The 18,947-nt window shown below is 46.9% G+C and overlaps 2 long non-coding RNA genes across 2 annotated transcripts in view; one reads left to right on the top strand and one right to left on the bottom strand.

Annotated features, from left to right (window-relative positions):
• The window catches only part of LOC101929148 (uncharacterized), a 45,775-nt gene extending 31,648 nt beyond the window's left edge, over positions 1-14,127 (bottom strand). Inside the window, exons 1-3 of the long non-coding RNA NR_110413.1 lie at positions 13,927-14,127; positions 13,283-13,592; positions 6,595-6,735 (exon numbers count right to left, since the gene is read on the bottom strand). This is a non-coding gene — a long non-coding RNA (uncharacterized LOC101929148). The remainder of the gene's footprint in view (positions 1-6,594; positions 6,736-13,282; positions 13,593-13,926) is intronic.
• TTTY6 (testis expressed transcript, Y-linked 6) lies at positions 11,608-13,474 on the top strand. The gene is made up of 3 exons (NR_001527.2): positions 11,608-11,722; positions 11,941-12,078; positions 13,236-13,474. It is a non-coding gene; the product is annotated as a testis expressed transcript, Y-linked 6 (long non-coding RNA).
• Positions 14,128-18,947: the final 4,820 nt, after the last annotated feature.

The raw sequence follows: 18,947 nt of genomic DNA, 5'->3' as shown, positions 1-18,947 counted from the left end.
AGGTTGAAACAGTGTCTCAGAGGCCGTTTGTTGGGATGGCCAGCCTGAAAATGGTGTCCAGTAGTGCTGTTAAGGGGCAATGTGGATTCCCCATGAAAACGAAGAAAACCCAAGGCTTGCCTGAGAGAATGAGCTACCTTGTGCTGGAGTCTATGCAATGTTCAGTGAGTCCTGTCAAAGAACCCAAAAGCATCCTGCATAGTGCAAACATTCTGAGCCCCCACAACCAATGACATGGAATGCAGCCAGACTACTTGATGACCCTTTTGCTCTCTGAAATCCCTGGCAGCTAAATAATCTGTAGCTAGAGGCAGTCCCATCCAGCAACAGCCCAATGAAAAAGACCCTTCACAGTGAGAATGCCATGCAGATGAAATGAAATAGAGGCTAGATTACCAGGAAAAATTGACACATCTGTGTGCTTTTCATCCTGCAAGAATCATGCAGCCCCCTGGTAGATATGGGAGAACAAAAGTTTTCTTGTTGGTGGCAGTAATGGGAATTTACAGTTTTAACAATGTCAAAGCTTCCCAGTCATTAAAACCTGACAGTGGTTAGAAGAAAACACCCATGCAATGGATTCTCATGAGGATCTTTCTCCGTGAAATGGAAAACATTTGTTGTAGAAGTCACTGAGCCAGACCCAGAAAACCCTAATCCAATGAAGAACACGGATGTCAATATAGGAAGAGGCAAGTGTAAAGGCCACATCACAGCCAGCATCAATCCATTCCACTCCCATTTGTCTCTGAATATGAAAACTCTCAAATCGTGAGTTTGCTTGGATTGCTCCAATTTCTACTCCAAATGTTCCTTGCATGTTGGAGTACTCCCACCTGAACACCGGGTCATGGTGTGGACTGCTTTTGTAATTAAAGGAATGCAGGGATGGAGTTGGAAGCACCTTCTGTGTCATCTGTCTTCATTTTTTTTTCAGGTGAAGTTGTGGGACCCCACCCATCCCTCACCAGATTGTATCCTCACCCCTATCTGACCATACTGCTCCTCACACTCTATTTCACAGGATGAAATCCCAAGTCAATGTAAGAGTGCCCCTCATGACAGGAAGCATCTGCTCAGCTGGGAACTGAATTCAAGGTAAATTTAAGGGGCCTTGTTTACAGGACTGCTAGTGTCTCTCCCTGAGGTGGTTGCAGGACTATAAAATACTGGGATATGTCTGTTTTTTTGTGTGTGTATGGTGTGCTCCTCTTCTGTCTAGAAGAGTGGCTTTTTTGCAGGGGGTGGTGACTTGGAGGTTGGTGCATTTTGGCGTGCCTCCCAGTTCACTGATGGGTCATGATCCACATGAAAATAAACAACATGGAGCTCTGCAGCCCATGTAAACCACACAGACCAAAAATAGGTCATGAGACTCAAAAAAAAAAAAAAAAAAAAAAGGCTGAAGTGCATTAGCACATTCCTTTAAGCAGACTCCACTTACAGGCACACACAGACAATGTCACACTCACATGCAGACATCCAACACTCACAACATTTCCAAGAAATGCACAGTTTGGCAGCTCCTGAGGCTGCATGATTCTGCAGGAAGCTTCACCTGAGACACAGCAACCCTGGCGAAAACAGGCAGATTTTACCTAGAAATCACAGTGCAGCAAGTTTCAAAATGACTCACCCCTACAACGTCTAGGCAGGGCTGAGGAGTCCTGCAGATCTTTTTGGATCATTAGAAATTTTGCGGTTTATTCCCAGAACTGTACTTGATGTATCTTCAAAATGCCTTATGTCTGCCCTATCCTAAGATCATGGGACTATTGCATTGATCCCACAGAGAAGAAAGGCAAGAGTCCACCACCGATGCACGTCCATGGAGGTCTCCTTTTCTGCCAAGATACAGGGTCATGTCGCTTTGCAATGGTGATGTTCATTGTGAAGCTAGCCAGAACTCACAGTCAGGACTGGTGCCTTGAGACTAGCCAATGTGCATTCACTGGGCAGGTTCGAGTGTGCAGCTGTTAGAGCTGTTACCCTGCCTAGGCTCAGGGTAATGGTACAAAAAGAACTGGCCCGGTATCTCAAAAAATGCTGCCTGAGAAAACCCACAGTGGGACCCTAAAAGTCTCAAACTCAGTGCCTATCCAGGCACTCTCCTCTTGCTGGAGGAAGAGGCCATTCAAGACTGTGAGGTGGCTCTGGAAACTGGTCTTCTGACTCAATTTCTGAAAGACGGTGTGTGCAAGAATCAGGTCCCATAGGGATTGTAATATAGTCTGGAGTGTTTTTGAGGGTACTTTAGATGATAGAATCATACCTGAGACCCTAGAGGTAAGTGTCAGTGAAAGATGGCTGGGCTCTTGATCTCACTGCCTCCCTCATCCTGGGTTTTGAAGGACCTCTCTAGGAAAGGCAGGAACCAATAAAAAGGCAATTCCAAGGTGAAGCAGTGTTCTCACACCTCATACTGTCCTCTCTTGGTGCAGATGAGGTTGAGACTGTGTCTCAGAGACCCTCTGTGGAGACGCAAGTGTGAAATGGGTGTTTCAGTGCTGTTGACAAGGAAGAGTGGATGCCCCATGAAAGCCTTGAAAAATCAAGGCTCACTTGAGAGAATGAGCTGCTTTATGCTGGAACCCAAGCAATGTTCACTGAATCCTGTCAGAGGATCCACAGGCCTCCTGCAAAGTGCAAACATCCTTAACCCCCACAAAGAGACAATGACCAAGTATCTATAATGCAGCCAGCCTACCCAAAGTCCATTTGGCCCTCTGAAATCCCTAGCATCTAAATAACCTGTGGTGAGAGTCAGTCCCATCCAGCAGCAGCCCAATGATAGAGCCCTTCCAGAATGAGAAGGCCATGAAGATGAAAGAAATAAGAGGCTAGATTAATAGGCAAAAGCCAGGCATGGCTTCCAGCTTCTCATCCTACAGGAATCATGCAGCTGTGCAATGGAAGTGAGAGAACTAAAATTTCTTTTTGGAGGCTGTAACAGGAATTTATGCTTTTAACAGTATCAATGAGATCCATTCATTAAAATGTGACAGAGTTTAGAAGGAAACACTCACACAATGGATTCCCATGAGGGCAGATTTTCATGAACTGGGAAATGTTTAGTGTGGAATTCATTGAGCCAAACTCAGGAAACCCTAGACCGATGAGAAAAATGGAAGTCAGAAACAAAGAGGAAAGTGTGGAGGCCACATCCCACACAGCGTCATTCCGTTGCACTCCCGTTTGACTCTGGGTATGAAAGCCATCAAATCAGGAGTTAGCCAGGATGGACCCAATTTGCACACCAAATGTTTTTGGCGTGTTGGAGTACTCCCACCTCAACATCGGGCCATTGTATGGACTGCTTGTGCAATTAAAGGAATGTGCGAATGGTGTTGGAAGCACCTTCTGTGTCATCTGTCTTTCTCAGTGTTGCAGGTGAAGTTGTAGGACCCAATCCATCTCTCACCAGATTGTATCCTCACCCCATCTGACTGTATTGCTTCTTACACTGTATGTCCCAGGATGAAATCCTAAGATGATGGAGGAGGGTCCCCTCATGATGTAAAGTACCTGCTCAGATAGGAATCTAATTTGAGGTAAATTCCAGGGGTCCAGTGGACAGGATTGCTAGTGTCTCTCTCTGAGATGGCTGCAGGACAATAAAATACAGGAAGATGTCTGTTTTTTGGTGGGGTGTGTTCCTCTTCTTTCTAGAAGAGTGGCTTTTCTTTTGCAGGGGGAGTTGATTTGGATGCCGGCAGGTCTTGGCATGCCTCCCAATTCACAGTGGATTCATGATCCACAGAAAAATCAAGAACATGAGGTCCCGCAGCCCAAGCAAAGCCATATAGGGTGCCCACAAAAGGGTTACAGTCTAAAAAAAAAAAAAAAAAAAAAAAAAAGAAGCACTGACGTGTGTTAGCCACATTCTTTTAAGCATTTAAGCAGACTCCACTAACGGGCACACACAAATACAAAACACACACAGTGCCACACACGAACACAGACATCCAACAGTCACAACAATCCCACAGAAAGAAATATCCTGGCAGCACCTGAAGCTGTGTGATTCTGCAGGATGTCCCACCTGGGAGAGAGCAACCCCAGTGAACACAGGCGGGATGTACCTAGATATCATAGTGGGGCAAGTTTCAAGAAGATTCACCCCTACAATGTCTAGCAGGCCTGAGGAATTCTGCAGATCCTTTTGGATCTTAGGGATTTTGTGGTTTATTCCTGGGGCTGAGCTTGACATTTCTTCAGGCTGGCTGAAGTCTGCCCTCTCCTAGGATCATGGGACTATGCCATGTATCTCACAGAGAAGAGAGGTGAGAGTTCAACACTGATGCACCTCCACAAAGGTCTCTTTCTCTGCCAAGCCACAGGGACTTCTCACTATGCAGCAGCCACAGTCATTGTGATGCTAGCAAGGTCTCACAATCAGTCCTGGTGCCCTGAGACTAGTGTATGTGCATTCGTGAAGCAGGCTCAGGTGCCTATTTGTCACAGCAGTCAGTCTGCTTAAGGAGAGAAAAATAATACAGGCAGAGCCAGCCTGGTATCGGAAAAAATATGACTGCAAAAACCCACTGCGGGACCCTAAAAGTCTCTACATCAGAGCCCCTTCAGGCTGTCTCTGTGGTCAGTTTTTCATCGGAGGAGGAGGCATTTTGAGACTGGGAGATAGTCGCTGCAAACTGCTTCTCTGACTGCATTCCCAAATAAGAATGTGTGTGTGCAAGAATCAGGTCACATGGGGATTGCAGTATAGTCTGGTGTGTTGTCAAGGATTATTTTGCTGACACAACCCCAGAGGCTTGTGTCAGCAAAAGATGGCTGAGATCTTGATCTCACTGCCTCCCTTCATCTTGGGCCTAACAGGGGCTCTCTGGGAAAGGCAGTTACAATGACAAAGGCAACTACAAGGTGAAGCAGTGTTCTCACACCTCAGACTGGCCTCCAACGGGCACAGACGAGGTTGAGACAGTGTCTCTGAGGCCATCTGTGGTGATGGCAAACCTAAAAAAGGTGAATATTAGTGCCGTTGAGATTCACTGTGAATTACCCATGAAAGCAAAGAAAAATCAAGACATGTCTGACAGAATGCGATGCTTTGTGCTGGAGTCCAAGCAATGTTCAGTGATTCTTATCAGAGGACCTAAAAGCCCCCTGCAAAGTGCAAACAACCTTAGCCCCCCAATAAGGCAACGACCCATAACCTGGATGGCAGGAGCCTGCCCGAAGTCCCTTTTGCCCTCTAAAATCTCTGGCAGCTAAATAATCTGTGGCAAAAGGCAGTCACATCCAGCAACAGCCCAGTGAAAGTGCCCCTCCACAATGAAAAGGCCATCCAGATGAAATGAAACAGAGGCTAGATTACCAGGCAAAGGCCAGACAAGGCTGTTCATCCTACAGGTATTATGCAGCCATTTGAAAGAAGTGGGAGAAAAAGAGTTTATTTTGGCAGCAGTAATGGGAATTTTCAGTTTTAAAATATCAAAGCTACCCAGTCATTAAAAGGTGACAGTGTTTAGAAGGAAACACTCTGTGAACTGGGAAAGCTTTAGTGTGGAAGTGGTTGAGCCAGACACAGGAAACTCTAGGCAGGTGAGGAATATAGAAGTCAGAAGAAGAAGAGGAAAATGTGGAGGCCACATCCCACCCAGCATCAATCCATTCCACTCTTATTGATCTCTGAATATGAAAGCCCACAAATCGGCAGTTTGCCAGGATGGCCCCAATTTGCCCTCCAAATGTCCATTGTATGTTGCAGTATTCCCACCTTAACACCATGCCATTGTGTGGACTGCTTCTGCAATTAAGGGAATGTGTGGATGGAGTTGGAAACACTTTCTGTGTCATCTGACTTTATTTTTATTGCAGGTGAAGTTACAGGGCCCCAACCACCTTTCACTAGATTGTATCTTCACCTGTATCTGACCTTACTGCTGCTCACACTCTATGTCCCAGGATAAAATCCTAGCATGGTGGAGGAGTGTCCCCTCATGATGTGAAGCACCTGCTAGGCTTGGAACTGAATTCAAGGTGAGTTCAAGTGGCCCTCTGCACAGGACTGCTAGTGTCTCCCCCTGTTTAGCTGCAGGACAATGAAACACCAAAAAATGTCTGTTTGTGGGGGAGTTTTTTGTTTGTTTGTTTTTTTGATGTGGTGTGCTCATCTTCTTTCTAGAAGTGTGGGTTTTTCTGCAGGGGGAGGTGATTTGGACACCAGTGGGACTCAGCCCACCTCCCAATTCATGTCGGATTCATAATTCACAGAAAAATAAAGAACATGAAGCTTTGCAGCCCAGGAAGAGCCACACAGACAGGCCACCAAAAGGTTGGAAGACTCAAAATAACAATAATAATAATAACACTGAAGTATGTTAGCCACATTGCTTTAAGAAGACTCCCTTTACAGGCACACATACACACACAAACACACACAGAGAAACACACAATGCTACACACACACAGAGACATCCAACACTCACAACACTGTCACAAAAACACACAGCCCAGCAGCTCCTGAGGCTGCTTGGTTCTGAAGGTAACCCCACCTGGGAGAGAGCAACCCTGGGGGAACACAGGCAGGCTGTACCTAGAAATCACAATAGGGCAAGTTTCAAAAAGACTCACCTCTACAATGTCTAGACACATCTGAAAAATGTTGCAGATGTTTCTGGATCCTGAGAAATATTGTGGTTTATTCCTGGGCCTCTTCTTGATGCTACTACAGGCTGGCTTACATCTGCCCTCTCCTAGGCTCATGGGACAATCCTGTGGATCACACATAGAAGGCAGGTGAGAATTCATGACTGATACACCTCCACGGACATCTCCTTCTTTGCCAAGATGCAGAAATTGTCACTAGGCAATGGTGAAATTCATTGTGGCACTAGTTAGAGCTCACAGTCAGGCCTGGTGCCTCAAGACTACAGCATGCGCATTTTCAGGCCCTGCTGTTAGAGCTGTCAGCCTGCCTAAGCAGAGGAAAATGATACATGCAGAGCCAGAAAGTTATCCAGGAAAATGCCACCTGTGATAACCCACTCTGGGACCCTAAAAGTCTCATCCTTAGTGCCCCTTTGGCCATCTTTGATGCTGGGTCCCGCAGGATGAGAATGCATTTCTATTTTTAGACTGTGAGTTTGTCGTGAAAAACTGCTCTTGTGACTCCATTCCCGAAAGAGGCTGTGTGCAAGAATTGGGTACCATGGGGATTGGAATGTAGTCTGGTGCATTGTTTAGGGGTCTTTGGGTGATAGAATCCTACCTGATACCCCAGAGATGGGTGTCAATTAAAAATGACCAGGGCCTTAACCTCAGTGCCTCCCTTCATTCTTGGCCTCATAGGATCTCTCTCGGGTAAGCGGGAACCACACCTCAAACTGGCCTCTTACAGGGGCAGATGAGGTTGAGACAGTGTCTCAGAGGCTGTCTTTGGTGATTGTAACCCTGAAAAGGGTGTCCAGTAGTGCTAGTGACTGGCATGAAAGCAAAAAAATCAAAGCTCGTATGAGAGAAAGAGCTGCCTTGGGCTGGAGTCCAAGCAATGTTCAAAGATTCCTGTCAGAGGGCCCTGAAACCTCCTGCAAAGTGCAAACAACCTCATCCCACAAAATGAGACCAAGACACAGAACCTGGGATGCGGCCAGCCTGCCTGAAGTCCCTTGTGCTCCTTGATATCCCTGTCAGCCAATAAATTTGTGGTGAGAAGTAGCCCCATCCACCAACAGCCCTATAAAAGACCCCCTACACAATGAGAAAGGATGTGCAGATAAAATGAAACAGAGCCGGTATTACCAGGTGAAATACAGACACGGCTGCCTGCTTAACCTTTCGATAAAACCTAGAGAACAAGAGTTTCCTTGTTGGCAGCAGTAACAGGAAGTTACTATTTTAAAATTATCACAGCTGCCCAGTCATTGAAATGTGACAGTGTTTAGAAGGAAACACTCACTCAATGTATTCCCCTGAGGGTCAACTTCCATGAACTGGGAAATGTTTAGCATGGAAGACATTGAGCCATACCCAAGAATCCATAGGATGATGAGGCACACGTATGTCAGGATATGAAAAGGCAAGTGTGGAGGCCACATCCCACCTTGTATCAATCAATCTCACTGCCATTTTGTTCTGCCTATGAAAGCCCTCAAATCGATAGTTGGCCAGGGTGGCCGCAGTTTGTACTCCAAATATTCCCTGCACATTGGAGTACTCCCAACTAAACACTGGGCCAAGTTGTGGACTGCTTGTGCAATTAAGGAAATGTGGGAATGCTGTTTGAAGCACGTTTTGTGTCATCTGTCTTTATACTTTTGCAGGTGAAGGTGTGGGACCCCATCCACCCCTCATCAGATTGTATCCTCACGCTATCTGACCTTATTGCTACTCACACTGTATGTCCCAGGATGAAATCTCAAGGTGATGGAGGAGTGAATCCTGATGATGGGAAGTATCTGCTCGGCTATGAACCAAAATTGAGGTAAATTCGTGGGGCCCTGTGGGCAGGACTGCTAGTGTTTCTCCCTGGGATGGCCACAGAAAAATGACACACTGAAGGATTTCTGTTCTTGGCTGTGGTGTGCTGCTCATCTTTCTAGAGGGTGGCTTTGTTTTTTTCCAGCGGTTGGTTATGAGGACCCCGCGTGTCACAGCCAGCCTTGCAATTCACCGCAGGTTCATAATTCACAGAAAAATAAAGAACAGGGAGGCCTCCAGACCAAGCAGAGCCACACAGATGGGCAAACAAAATGTTGGAAGTCTCAAATAAAAGAAGCTCTGCAGTGTGTTATCCACATCCCTTTAAGCAGATTCCACTAACAGGTGCATGCGTGTGTGCACGCACGCACACACACACAAAAACACACAAAGCCAAAAAGCCACACCACACCCAGACATCCAACCCTTTTAACACTCCCTCAGAAACAGAGCCTGGCAGCTTCTGAGGCTGTGTGTTTCTGCAGAAATCCCCACCTGGGAGAGAGAAACCCCGGCAAACACAGTGGGATCTACCTAGAAATCACAGTTGGGTGAGTTTCAAAAAGACTCAACCCTACATCTAGGCAGGCCTGAGAAATCCTGCAGATGCTTTTGTAACCTTAGGGACTTTGCAGTTTATTCCTTGGGCTCTGCTTGAAGTTTCTTCACGCTGGCTCACGTCTGCCCTCTCCTAGGAACATGGATCTATCCTGTGGATCCCCCAGAGAAGACAAGCAAGAGTCCACCACAAGGCACCTCTATGGAGGTCTCCTTCTTGGCCAAGCAGCTGGGACTTGTAGCTGTGTAAGGGTGACATTCATTGTGATGCTAGCTAGAGCTCACAATCAGGCCTGGTGCCTGGAGACTAGCTCATGCGCATTTGAGGGCATGCTCAGTGGCCTGGCTTTCACAGCTGTCAGCCTGTGGAAGCAGAAGAAAATGGTACAGGTAGAGCCAGCTGGTAATGGGAAATAGGCTGCCTGTGATAACACACTGCGGGACCCTACAAGGCTCGAAATTAGGGTCACTTCGGGCTGTCTCTGTGTTCAGTTCCCACAGGAGTAGGAGGCATTTAGAGACTGTGAGGTGGTCGCTAAAAACTGCTCTTCTGACTCCCTTTCCGAAAGAGGCTGTGTGCAAGAATCAGGTCTTATGGGGATTGGAATGTAGTCTGGTGAGTTGAGGAGGGGTGTTTGGGTGATGGAATTATACCTGAGACCCTAGAATTGGGTGTCTATGAATGATGGTTGGGCCCTTAACCTCACTGTCTCCCATCATTCTGGACCTCGCAGGGTCTCTCTGTGAAGCACAGGAACCAAGACAAAGGCAAGTCCAAAATGGAGCAGTGTTCTCAAACCTCAAACTGGCCTCTCATGGGTACAGATAAGGTTGAGACAGTATCTCAGAGGCCATCTGTGGCCATGGCAAGCCAGAAAAGGGTGTCCAGTAGTGCTGTTGAGGGGCACTGTGGACTTCCCAGGAAAGCAAAGAAAAATCAAGGTGTGTGTGTGAGAAAAAGATGGCTTGTGCTGGAATCTAAGCAATATTCAAAAATTCCTGTCAGAGAACTCAAAAGCCTCCTTCAAAGTGCAAACAACCCATAACGAGACAGCGACCCACAACCTGGAGAGGCACTAAACCTACCCAGAGTCCATTTTGCTCACTGAAATCCCTGGCAGCCCATAGATCTGTTGTAAGAGGCAGCCCCATCCAGCAACAGCCCAATGAAAGACCACCTCCACAATGAGAAAGGATGTGCAGATGCAATGAAACACAGTGTAGATTACCAGAAAAAAGCCAAACATCGCTGCCTGCTTCTCTTCCTACAGGAATCATGCAGCACTCCAATAAAATTTGGAGAGCAAGAGTTTCCTTGTTGGCAGCTGTAAAAGGAGTTTATGGTTTTAAAATTATCACAGCTGCCCAGTCATTAAAACGTGACAGTGTTTAGAAGGAAACACTGGAAAACCTTTACCGTTGAGCCATCTGGGAAGATGTTGAGCCAGATCCAGGAAACCCCAGGCTGACAAGGAATATGGAAGACATGAAAAGAAGAGGCAAGTGTGGAGGTCACATCCCACGTTGTATCTATAGGTCTCACTTTCATTTGGAGCAGAGTATGAAAGCCCTCAAATTGGGAGTTTGCCAGGATGGCCCGGTTTGCATTTCAAATGTTCTCTGCACATTGGAGTACTCCCACCTGAACATCAGGCCATAGTGTGGACTACTTGCGTAATTAAGGAAATTTGAGAATGCAGTTGGAATCACTTTCTCTGTCATCTGTCTTCACATTTTTTGCAATTGGAAGTGTGGGACCCCACCCACTTCTCACCAGATTGCATCCTTACCCCTTCTGACCTTATTGCTGTTCATGTTCTCTTTCCCTAAATGAAATCCCAAGATGATCTAGGAGTGCCTTCTCAGGATCTGAAGAAACTGCTCAGTTATGAACTGAATTCAAGGTAAATTCAAGGGCCCTGAGGACATGAATGCTAGTGTTTCTTCCTGGGATGACCACTGGACAATGGAATACTGAAGGATGTCTGTTATTGCGTGTGTTGTGCTCCTTTTCTTTCTAGAAGAGCAGCTTTTTTTGGCAGGCAGAGGTGATGTGGACCTTGGTGTCTCACAGCCAGCCTCCCAGTACACTTTGGATTCATGATCCAGAGAAAATTAAAAAACACAGAGCCCTGCAGCTTAAGCAGAGCCACACAGGCATGTGACCCAAAGGTTGGGAGACTTAAAAAAAAAAATAGTGCTGCAGCGCATTAGCCACATTCCTTTAAGCAGACTTCACTTACAGGTGCGCACACACACACACACACACACACACACACACACACACATAAACACACAGTGCTAAAAAAAGCCACACCCATACACAGACATCAAAGACTCACAATAATTTTACAGAAACACACCACCCAGCAGTTTCTGAGGCTGTATGGTTCTGCAGGAAGACTTACGTGGGAGACAGCAACTCTGGGGAACACAAGCGGGGTGCACCTAGAAATCATAGCAGTGTCAGTTTCATAAAGATTCACCTCTACATGTGTAGGCAGGCCTGAGGCATCCTGCAGATCCTTTTGGAACCTTACAGATTTTGCGGTTTATTCCTGGGGCTTGGCTTGACATATCTTCTGGCTAGCTCACGTCTGTTCTCTCCTAGGATCATGAGACTATCCTGTGTATCCCACAAAGAAGACAGGCAAGATTCCTTGGCTGATGCACCTCCACAGAGGTCTCCTTCTCAGCCAAGCCTCAGGGAATTGTGGCATTCATGGTGAGGCTAGCCAGAGCTCACAGCTCAGGCCTGGTGCCCTGAGACTAGCACATGTGCATTCACCAGTGGGCTTGGCACTCGGCAGTCAGAGCTGTCAGCCAGCCTAAGCCGAGGAAAATGGTACAGGCAAGAGTGGGCCTGGTACTGGGAAAAAAAAATGCTGTATGCAATAACCCACTGTGGAACCCTAAAAGTCTCATACTTGGGGCCCCTTTCAGCTGTACCCGTGATCTGTTCCCACTGGAGGAGGAGATGTCTAGACTGTGATGGGGTCTCTGAGAACTGCTCTTCTGACTTTATTCCTGAAAGAGGCTGTGTGCAAGAATTGAGTCCCAGGGGGACTGGAATGTTGTCTGGTGAGTTGTGGAGGGTTCTTTGGGTGATAGAATCATACCTGTGACTCCAGAGGTGGGTGACAGTGAAATATGGCCAGGTTCTTAACCTCACTGCCTCCATTCATCCTGAGTCTTGCAGGGGCTCTTGGTGAAATGGAGGAACCATGACAAAGGCAAGTCCAAGGTGGAGCAGTATTCTCACAGCTCTAAGTGGACTCCCACAGGTGCAGGTGAGGATGAGACAGTGTCTCAGAGGACATCTGTGACAATTGCAATCCTGAAATGTTTGTCAGGTAGTGCTATTGAAGGGCACTGTGGACCCCCCATGAAAGCAAAGGAAAATCAAGGCTCACATGAGAGAATGAGCTGCCATGTGCTGTAGTCCAAGCCACGTTTAGAGATTTCTGTCACAGGACCCAAAAGCCTCTTGAAAAGTGCAAACAATCTCAGCCCCCACAAGTAAACCATGACCCCAAACCTAAAGTGCAGTCAGCCTACCCAAAGTCCCTTTTGCTCTCTGAAATCCCTGGAAGCCAATAATTCTGTGGTGAGAGGTAGCCTCATCCAACAACAGCCCGATGAAAGAGCCCTCCACAATGAAACAAGACAAGCAGATGAAATGAAACAGAGCCTAAATTCCCAGGCAAAAGCCAGGTACAGCTGCCTGCTTCTCCTACAGGTATCAAGCAGCCCTCTGATAAAAGCTGGATAACAAGAGTTTCTTTGTTGGCTACTGTTACAGAAATTTAGTTTTAAAACTATCGAAACTGCCTAGTCATTAAAATCTGACAGTGTTTAAAAGAAAACACTCATGAAATGGATTACTTTGAGGGTCATCTTCCGTGAAGTGGTAAATGGTTAACGTGGAAGATGTGGAGCCAGGCCCAGGAGAACTTAGGCCGATGAGGTACATGGAAGTCAGGAAAAAAGAGACAAGTGTGGTGGCCACATCAAACCTCACGTGAAATGATCTCACTTCCATTTAGCTCCTGGTATGATAGTCCTCAAATAGGGAGTTTGCCAGGATGGCTCCAGTTTGCACTCCAAACATTCCCTGCACATTGTGGTGCTCTCAACTGTACACCAGGCCATGGTATGGACTTGCTTGTGTAATTAAGGAAATGTGGGGATACAGTTGGAAGCACATTCTGTGACATCTATCTTCACATTTTTTGCAGGTGAATGTGTGGGACCGCATCCACCCCTCACCAGCTTGTATCCTCACCTTTATCTGATGTTATGGCTGCTCAAAGTATCTGTCCCAAAATGAAATTCCAAGACAATGAAGGAGTGACGTGAAGGTCCTGCTCAGCTAGGAACTGAATATGAAGTAAATTCAAGGGGCCCTGAGGACTGGACTGCTAGTGTTTCTCCATGGGATGTACACTGGAGAATAAAGCAGTGAAATATTTCTGTTCCTGGGTTTGATGTGCTCCTCTTCTTTCTAGAAGAGTGGCTTTTTTTTTTCCTCAGGGGGAGGTTATTTGGACCTGGCAGGTCTCAGCCAGCCTCTCAATTTACAGCGGATTCATGATCTGCAGAAAAATAAAGAACATGGAACCCAGCAGCCCAAGAAAAGCCACAAAGACAGACCACCAAAAGGCTGGGAGACTCAAAAACAAGAAAGCGCTGCAGTGTGTTAGCCACATTTTTTTAAGCAGATTCCACTTACAGGCATGCACACAAACAGGGAAACACACACACAAATGCAGACATCCAACACTCACAACACTCCCACAGAAACACACTCCTGGCAGCTTCTGAAGCTGTGTGGTTCTGCAGGAAGCCCCATGTGGGAGAGAGCAATCCCGGGGAACACAGGCATGCTGTATGTAGAAATCACAGTGGGACCAATTTCAAAATACTCACCCCTACAACATCTAGGCAGGCCTGAAGCATCCTGCAGATCCTTTAGGATTGTTAGGGAATTCACGGATTATTCCTGCGGCTCTGCTTGAGGCTTCTTAATGCTGGCTTACATCTGCCCTCTCACCCTCTCCTAGGATCATGGGACTCTCCCGAGGATTCCACAGAGAAGAGACCACAGTCCACCATGATGCATCTTCACGGAGGTCTCCTTCTCTGCCAAGCCTCAGGGACTTTTCACTAGGCAAAGAGTTATTGATTGTGATGCAAGCCAAAGATCACAGCTCAGGGGTGGTGCCCTGAGGCTAGCAGATGCACATTCGCAAGGCAGGCCCAGGGGCTCAGCTGTCAGAGCAGCCATTCTGCCTAAGCAAAGGAAAATGGTATAGGCAGAGCCGGCCTCATATCAGGAGAAAGGCTGCCTGTGATAACCAACTGGGGGACCCTAAATAAGTCAACCTTAGGACCCCTTCCATCCATCTCCTTGGTCGGGTCCCACTGGAGGAAGAGGTGTTTTGAGACTGTTAGGCTGTCATGCAAAACTGCTCTTTTGACTTCATTCTTGAAAGAGGCTATTTGTAAGAATCAGGTCCCATAGGGATTGGAATAGAGTCTGGTGAGTTGTTGAGGGGTCTTTGTGTCATGGAATCATAAGTGAGACCCCAGAGGTGGTTGTCAGTGAAATATGGCCAAACCCCTGTCCTCACTGCCTCTCTTCATTCTGGGTCCCCCAGGGGCTCTCTGGGAAAGGCATAAACCACAACAAATGCAAGTCTAAGATGGATCAGAGTTCTCACACCTTGAACTTCCCTCTCAGGGATGCAGATGAGGTTGACACATTGTCTTAGAGGCTGTCTGTGGCTATTGCAAGCCTGAAAACTGCGTCCAATAGTGCCGTTGTGGGGCAATGGCGACACCCCATGAAAGCACAAAAAACTCAAGGCTCACCCGAGAGAATGAGCTGACTTTTGCTGGAGTCCAAGCAACATTCAGATACTCCTGTCAGAGTACCTAAAAGCTTCCTCAGAAGTGCAAACAACCTCAGCCTCCACAATGAGACAACGACCCACAACCTGAAGTGCAGCCAGCCTACCTGAAGGCCATTTTGCTCCCTAAAATCGCTGGCAGCCAAAAGATCTGTGGTGAGTGGCAGTCGCATCCAGCAATGGCTGAATGACCCTCTCCACAATGAGAAAGGACCTACAGTGGAAATGAAACAGACCACAGATTACCAGGCAAAAGCCAGACATGACTGCATGCTTCTCATCCTATGGGAATCATGCACCCATCCGACAGAAGAGGGAGAACAAGAGTTTCCCTGTTGGTGTCAGTAACAGGAATTTATGGTTTTAAATGTATTACAGATGCCCAGTCATTAAATTGTGACAGTGTAATCTGTCTTCACCATTTTTGCAGGCGAATATGCATGACTCCAACCACCCCTTACCAGACTGTATCTTCAAACCTATGTGACCTTATTACTGCTCGTACTCTGTGTCCAAGAATAAAATCCCAAGACAATGGAGGATTGTCCCATTGTGATGAAAAGCACGTGTTCAGCTGGGAATCAAATTTGCGGTAGATTCAAGGGGCCCTGAGAACAGGACTGCCAGTGTCTCTCCCTGGGTTTGCTGCAGAACATGAAACACTGGGAGATGTCTGCTCTTGGGTGTGGTTTGCTATTCTTCTTCCTAGAAGAGGGTTTTGTTTTGTTTTGTTTTTTGCAGTGGGACATAATTTAACTTTGGCATGTCTCAGCCAATCTCCCAGTTCACTGTGGATTCATGATCCACACAAAAAAATGAAGAAGTTGTAATCCCATAGACCAAGCAAGGCCACACAGACAGGCCACCAAAAGTTAGGAGTCTCAAAAATAAGAAGTGCTTTAGGGCAATAGCCACATTCCTTTAAGAGATTCCACTTACAGGCACACAGATACACACACACACACACACCCCAACACTCACAACACTCCCACAGAAACACACAGCCCAGCAGCTTCTGAGGCTGCATGGTTCTGCAGGAAGCCCCACCTGGAAGAGACAATGCCTAAGGAACACAGGCTGGCTGAAACTAGAAATCACAGTGTGGCAAGTTTCAAAAAGACTAACTGCTACAATGTCTAGGAAGGCCTGAGGCCTTTTTCAGATCCTTTTGGATCCTTAGGGATTTCACAGTTTATTCCTGGGGCTCTGCTTGATGTTTCTTTAGGCTGGCTTGCACCCAGCATCAATCGATTCCACTTTCATTTGGCTACAGCAATGAAAGCCCTCAAATCAGGAGTTTGCCAGGATGGCCCCAATTTGCACTCCCAATCTTCCTTGCATGTTGGAGGACTCCCACTTGAACAGCGGGCCTTGGTGTGGACTGCGTGTGCAATTAAGGAATGTGGGGATGGAGTTGGAAGCATCTTCTGTGTCATCCGTCCTCTTCTTCTTTTTTTTTTTTTTTTTGCAAGTGAAGTTGCAGGACCCCATCCGCCCCTCTCCAGATTGTATCCTCACTCCATCTGACCTTATTGATTCTCACACTATATGTCCTACAATGAAATCCCAAGATGATGGAGCAGTGCCCCCTCATGACATGAAGCACCTGCTAGGCTGGGAACCAAATTTGAGGTAAATTCAAAAGGCCTGCAGATGAGACTGCTAGTGTGCTCCCTGGGTTTCCCACAGGACAATGAATCTCTGGGAGACATCTGTTTTTTGGGTGTGGTGTGCTCATCTTCTTTCTAAAAGGGTGCCTTTTTTTTTTTTTTTTTTTTTTTTTTTTTTTGCATGGGGAGGTGATTTGGATGTTGGCATGCCTTGGCCCAACTCCCAGTTCTTTTTGAATTAGTGATCCACAGAAAAATAAAGAACACTGAGCCCTGCAGCCCAAGCAGAGCCACACAGACATGTCAACAAAAGGTTGGGAGACTCAAAAAAAAAAAAAAAAAGAAGGACTGAAGTTCTTTAGCCACATTCCTTTAAGCACACTCTACTTACAGGCACACACAGACATACACATAGACACACAAACCCAAAATAACACACACACACACGCAAACATCTATCACTCACAACTTTATCACAGAAACACACAGCTCAGCAGCTCCTGAGGCTGCTTGGTTCTGCAGAAAGCCCCACCTGGGAGAGAACAACCCTGGGGAACACAGGTGGGATGTACCAAGAAATCAGAAAGGGCCAAATTTCAACAAGAGTCATTCCTACATCTAGGCAGGCCTGAGGAAACCTGCAGATCACTTTGGATCGTTATGGATTTCACAGTTTATTCCTAGGGCTGTGCTTGACATTTCTTCAGGCTGGCTCATGTCTACAGTCTCCTAGGATCAGAGGAATATCCAGGGGATCCTACGGAGAAGATAGGGGAGAGTCCACCCCCAATGCTCCTCCGTGGAGGTCTCCTTCTCCGCCAAGCTGCAGGGACTTGAGAGTAGGCAATGGCAAAGTTCATTGAGACACTAGCCATAGCTCACAGTTAGGCCTGGTGCCCTGAGACTAGCACATGTGCATTTGTGAGGCAGGCTTGGGAACCTGTGTGTCAGAGCTGTCAGCCTGCCTAAGCAGAGGAAAATGGTACAGCCAGAGCTGGCCTGGTATCGGGAAAAAGGCTGCCTGTGAAAACCCACTGTGGGATCTCAAAATGCTCAACCTCAGGGCGCTTTTGGTGGATCTCCATTGTCAAGTTCCACTGGAGAAGAAGGCGTTTTGAGACTGTGAGATAGTCGATGGAAACTGCTTTTCTGACTCTATTTCTGAAAGGGCTGTTTGCAGGAATCAGGTCCCATTGGGATTGGAATACTGTCTGGTTTGTTTTTGAGGGTTCCTCAGATGACAGAATCACATCTGATACCCCAGAGTTGGATGTCTGCAAAAGATGTCTGGGATTTTGACCTTCCTTCCTCCCTTTATTCTATGCCTTACAAAGGCTCTTTGAGAAAGGCAGGAACCAGAAGAGAGGCAAGTCCAAGGTAAAGCAGTGTTCTCACACCTCAGACAGGAGGCTCACGGGTGCAGATGAGGTTGAGACAGTGTCTCAGTGGCAGTCTGTGGTGATGGCAAGCCTGAACAAGCCTGGACGGTAGTGCTGTTGAGGGGCACTGTGGATTCCCCATGAAATGAAACAAACAAAAAAATCAATGCTCGCCTGAGAGAACGAGCTGCCTTGTGCTGGAGTCCAAGCAATGTTCAATGCTTCCTGTCAGAGGACCCAACACCCTCCAGCAAAGTGAAAACCACCTCATCCCACACAACCAGAAAACAACCCACAACCTAAAGCACAGCCAGCCTACACGAAGTCCCTCTTTCTCTCTTAAATAGCTGGCAGCTAAATAATCTGTGGCAGGAGGAAGTCACATCCGACAAAAGCCCAATGAAAGAGACCATCCACAATGAGGAGGCCAAGCAGATAAAATAAAACAGAGGCTTGACTGCCAGGCAAAAGCTAGACATGACTGCCTGCTTCTTATCCCACAGGAATCAAGCAGCCCTCTGATAGAAGTGGGAGAACAAGGGTTTCCTTGTTGGTGGCTGTAACAGGAATTCATGGTTTTAAATGTCAAAACTGCCAAGTCATTAAAATGTGAGTGTTTAGAAGGAAACCCTCATGCAGTGGATTCCATAAGGGTCTCTCTTCATGAACTGGGAAACATTTAGTGTGGAAGTCCTTGACCCAGACACAGCAAACTCTAGGCCGATGAGGTACATGAATGTCAAAAAAAGAAGAGGCAAGTGTGAAGGTCCACATCCCACGCAATGTCAATCCATTCCACTTACATTTGGCTCCAATTATGAAAGCCCTCAAATCAGGAGTTTGCCAGGATATCCCCAATTTGCACTCCAGGTGTTCCTTGCACGTTGGAGTACTCCCACTTGAACAATAGGCCATGGTGTGGACTGCTTGTGCAATTAAGGGAATGAGGGGATTGTGTTGGAAGCAATCTGTGTCATCTGTCTTCATTTTTATTGCAAGTGAAGTTGCAGGACCCATCTACTCCTTACCAGATTGGATCCTCCACCCTG

The sequence above is a fragment of the Homo sapiens genome, chromosome Y, assembly GCF_000001405.40.
Source record: "Homo sapiens chromosome Y, GRCh38.p14 Primary Assembly".
In the NCBI taxonomy this organism is placed as follows: Eukaryota; Metazoa; Chordata; class Mammalia; order Primates; family Hominidae; genus Homo; species Homo sapiens.
This window is presented reverse-complemented; position numbering and strand designations above follow the sequence as displayed.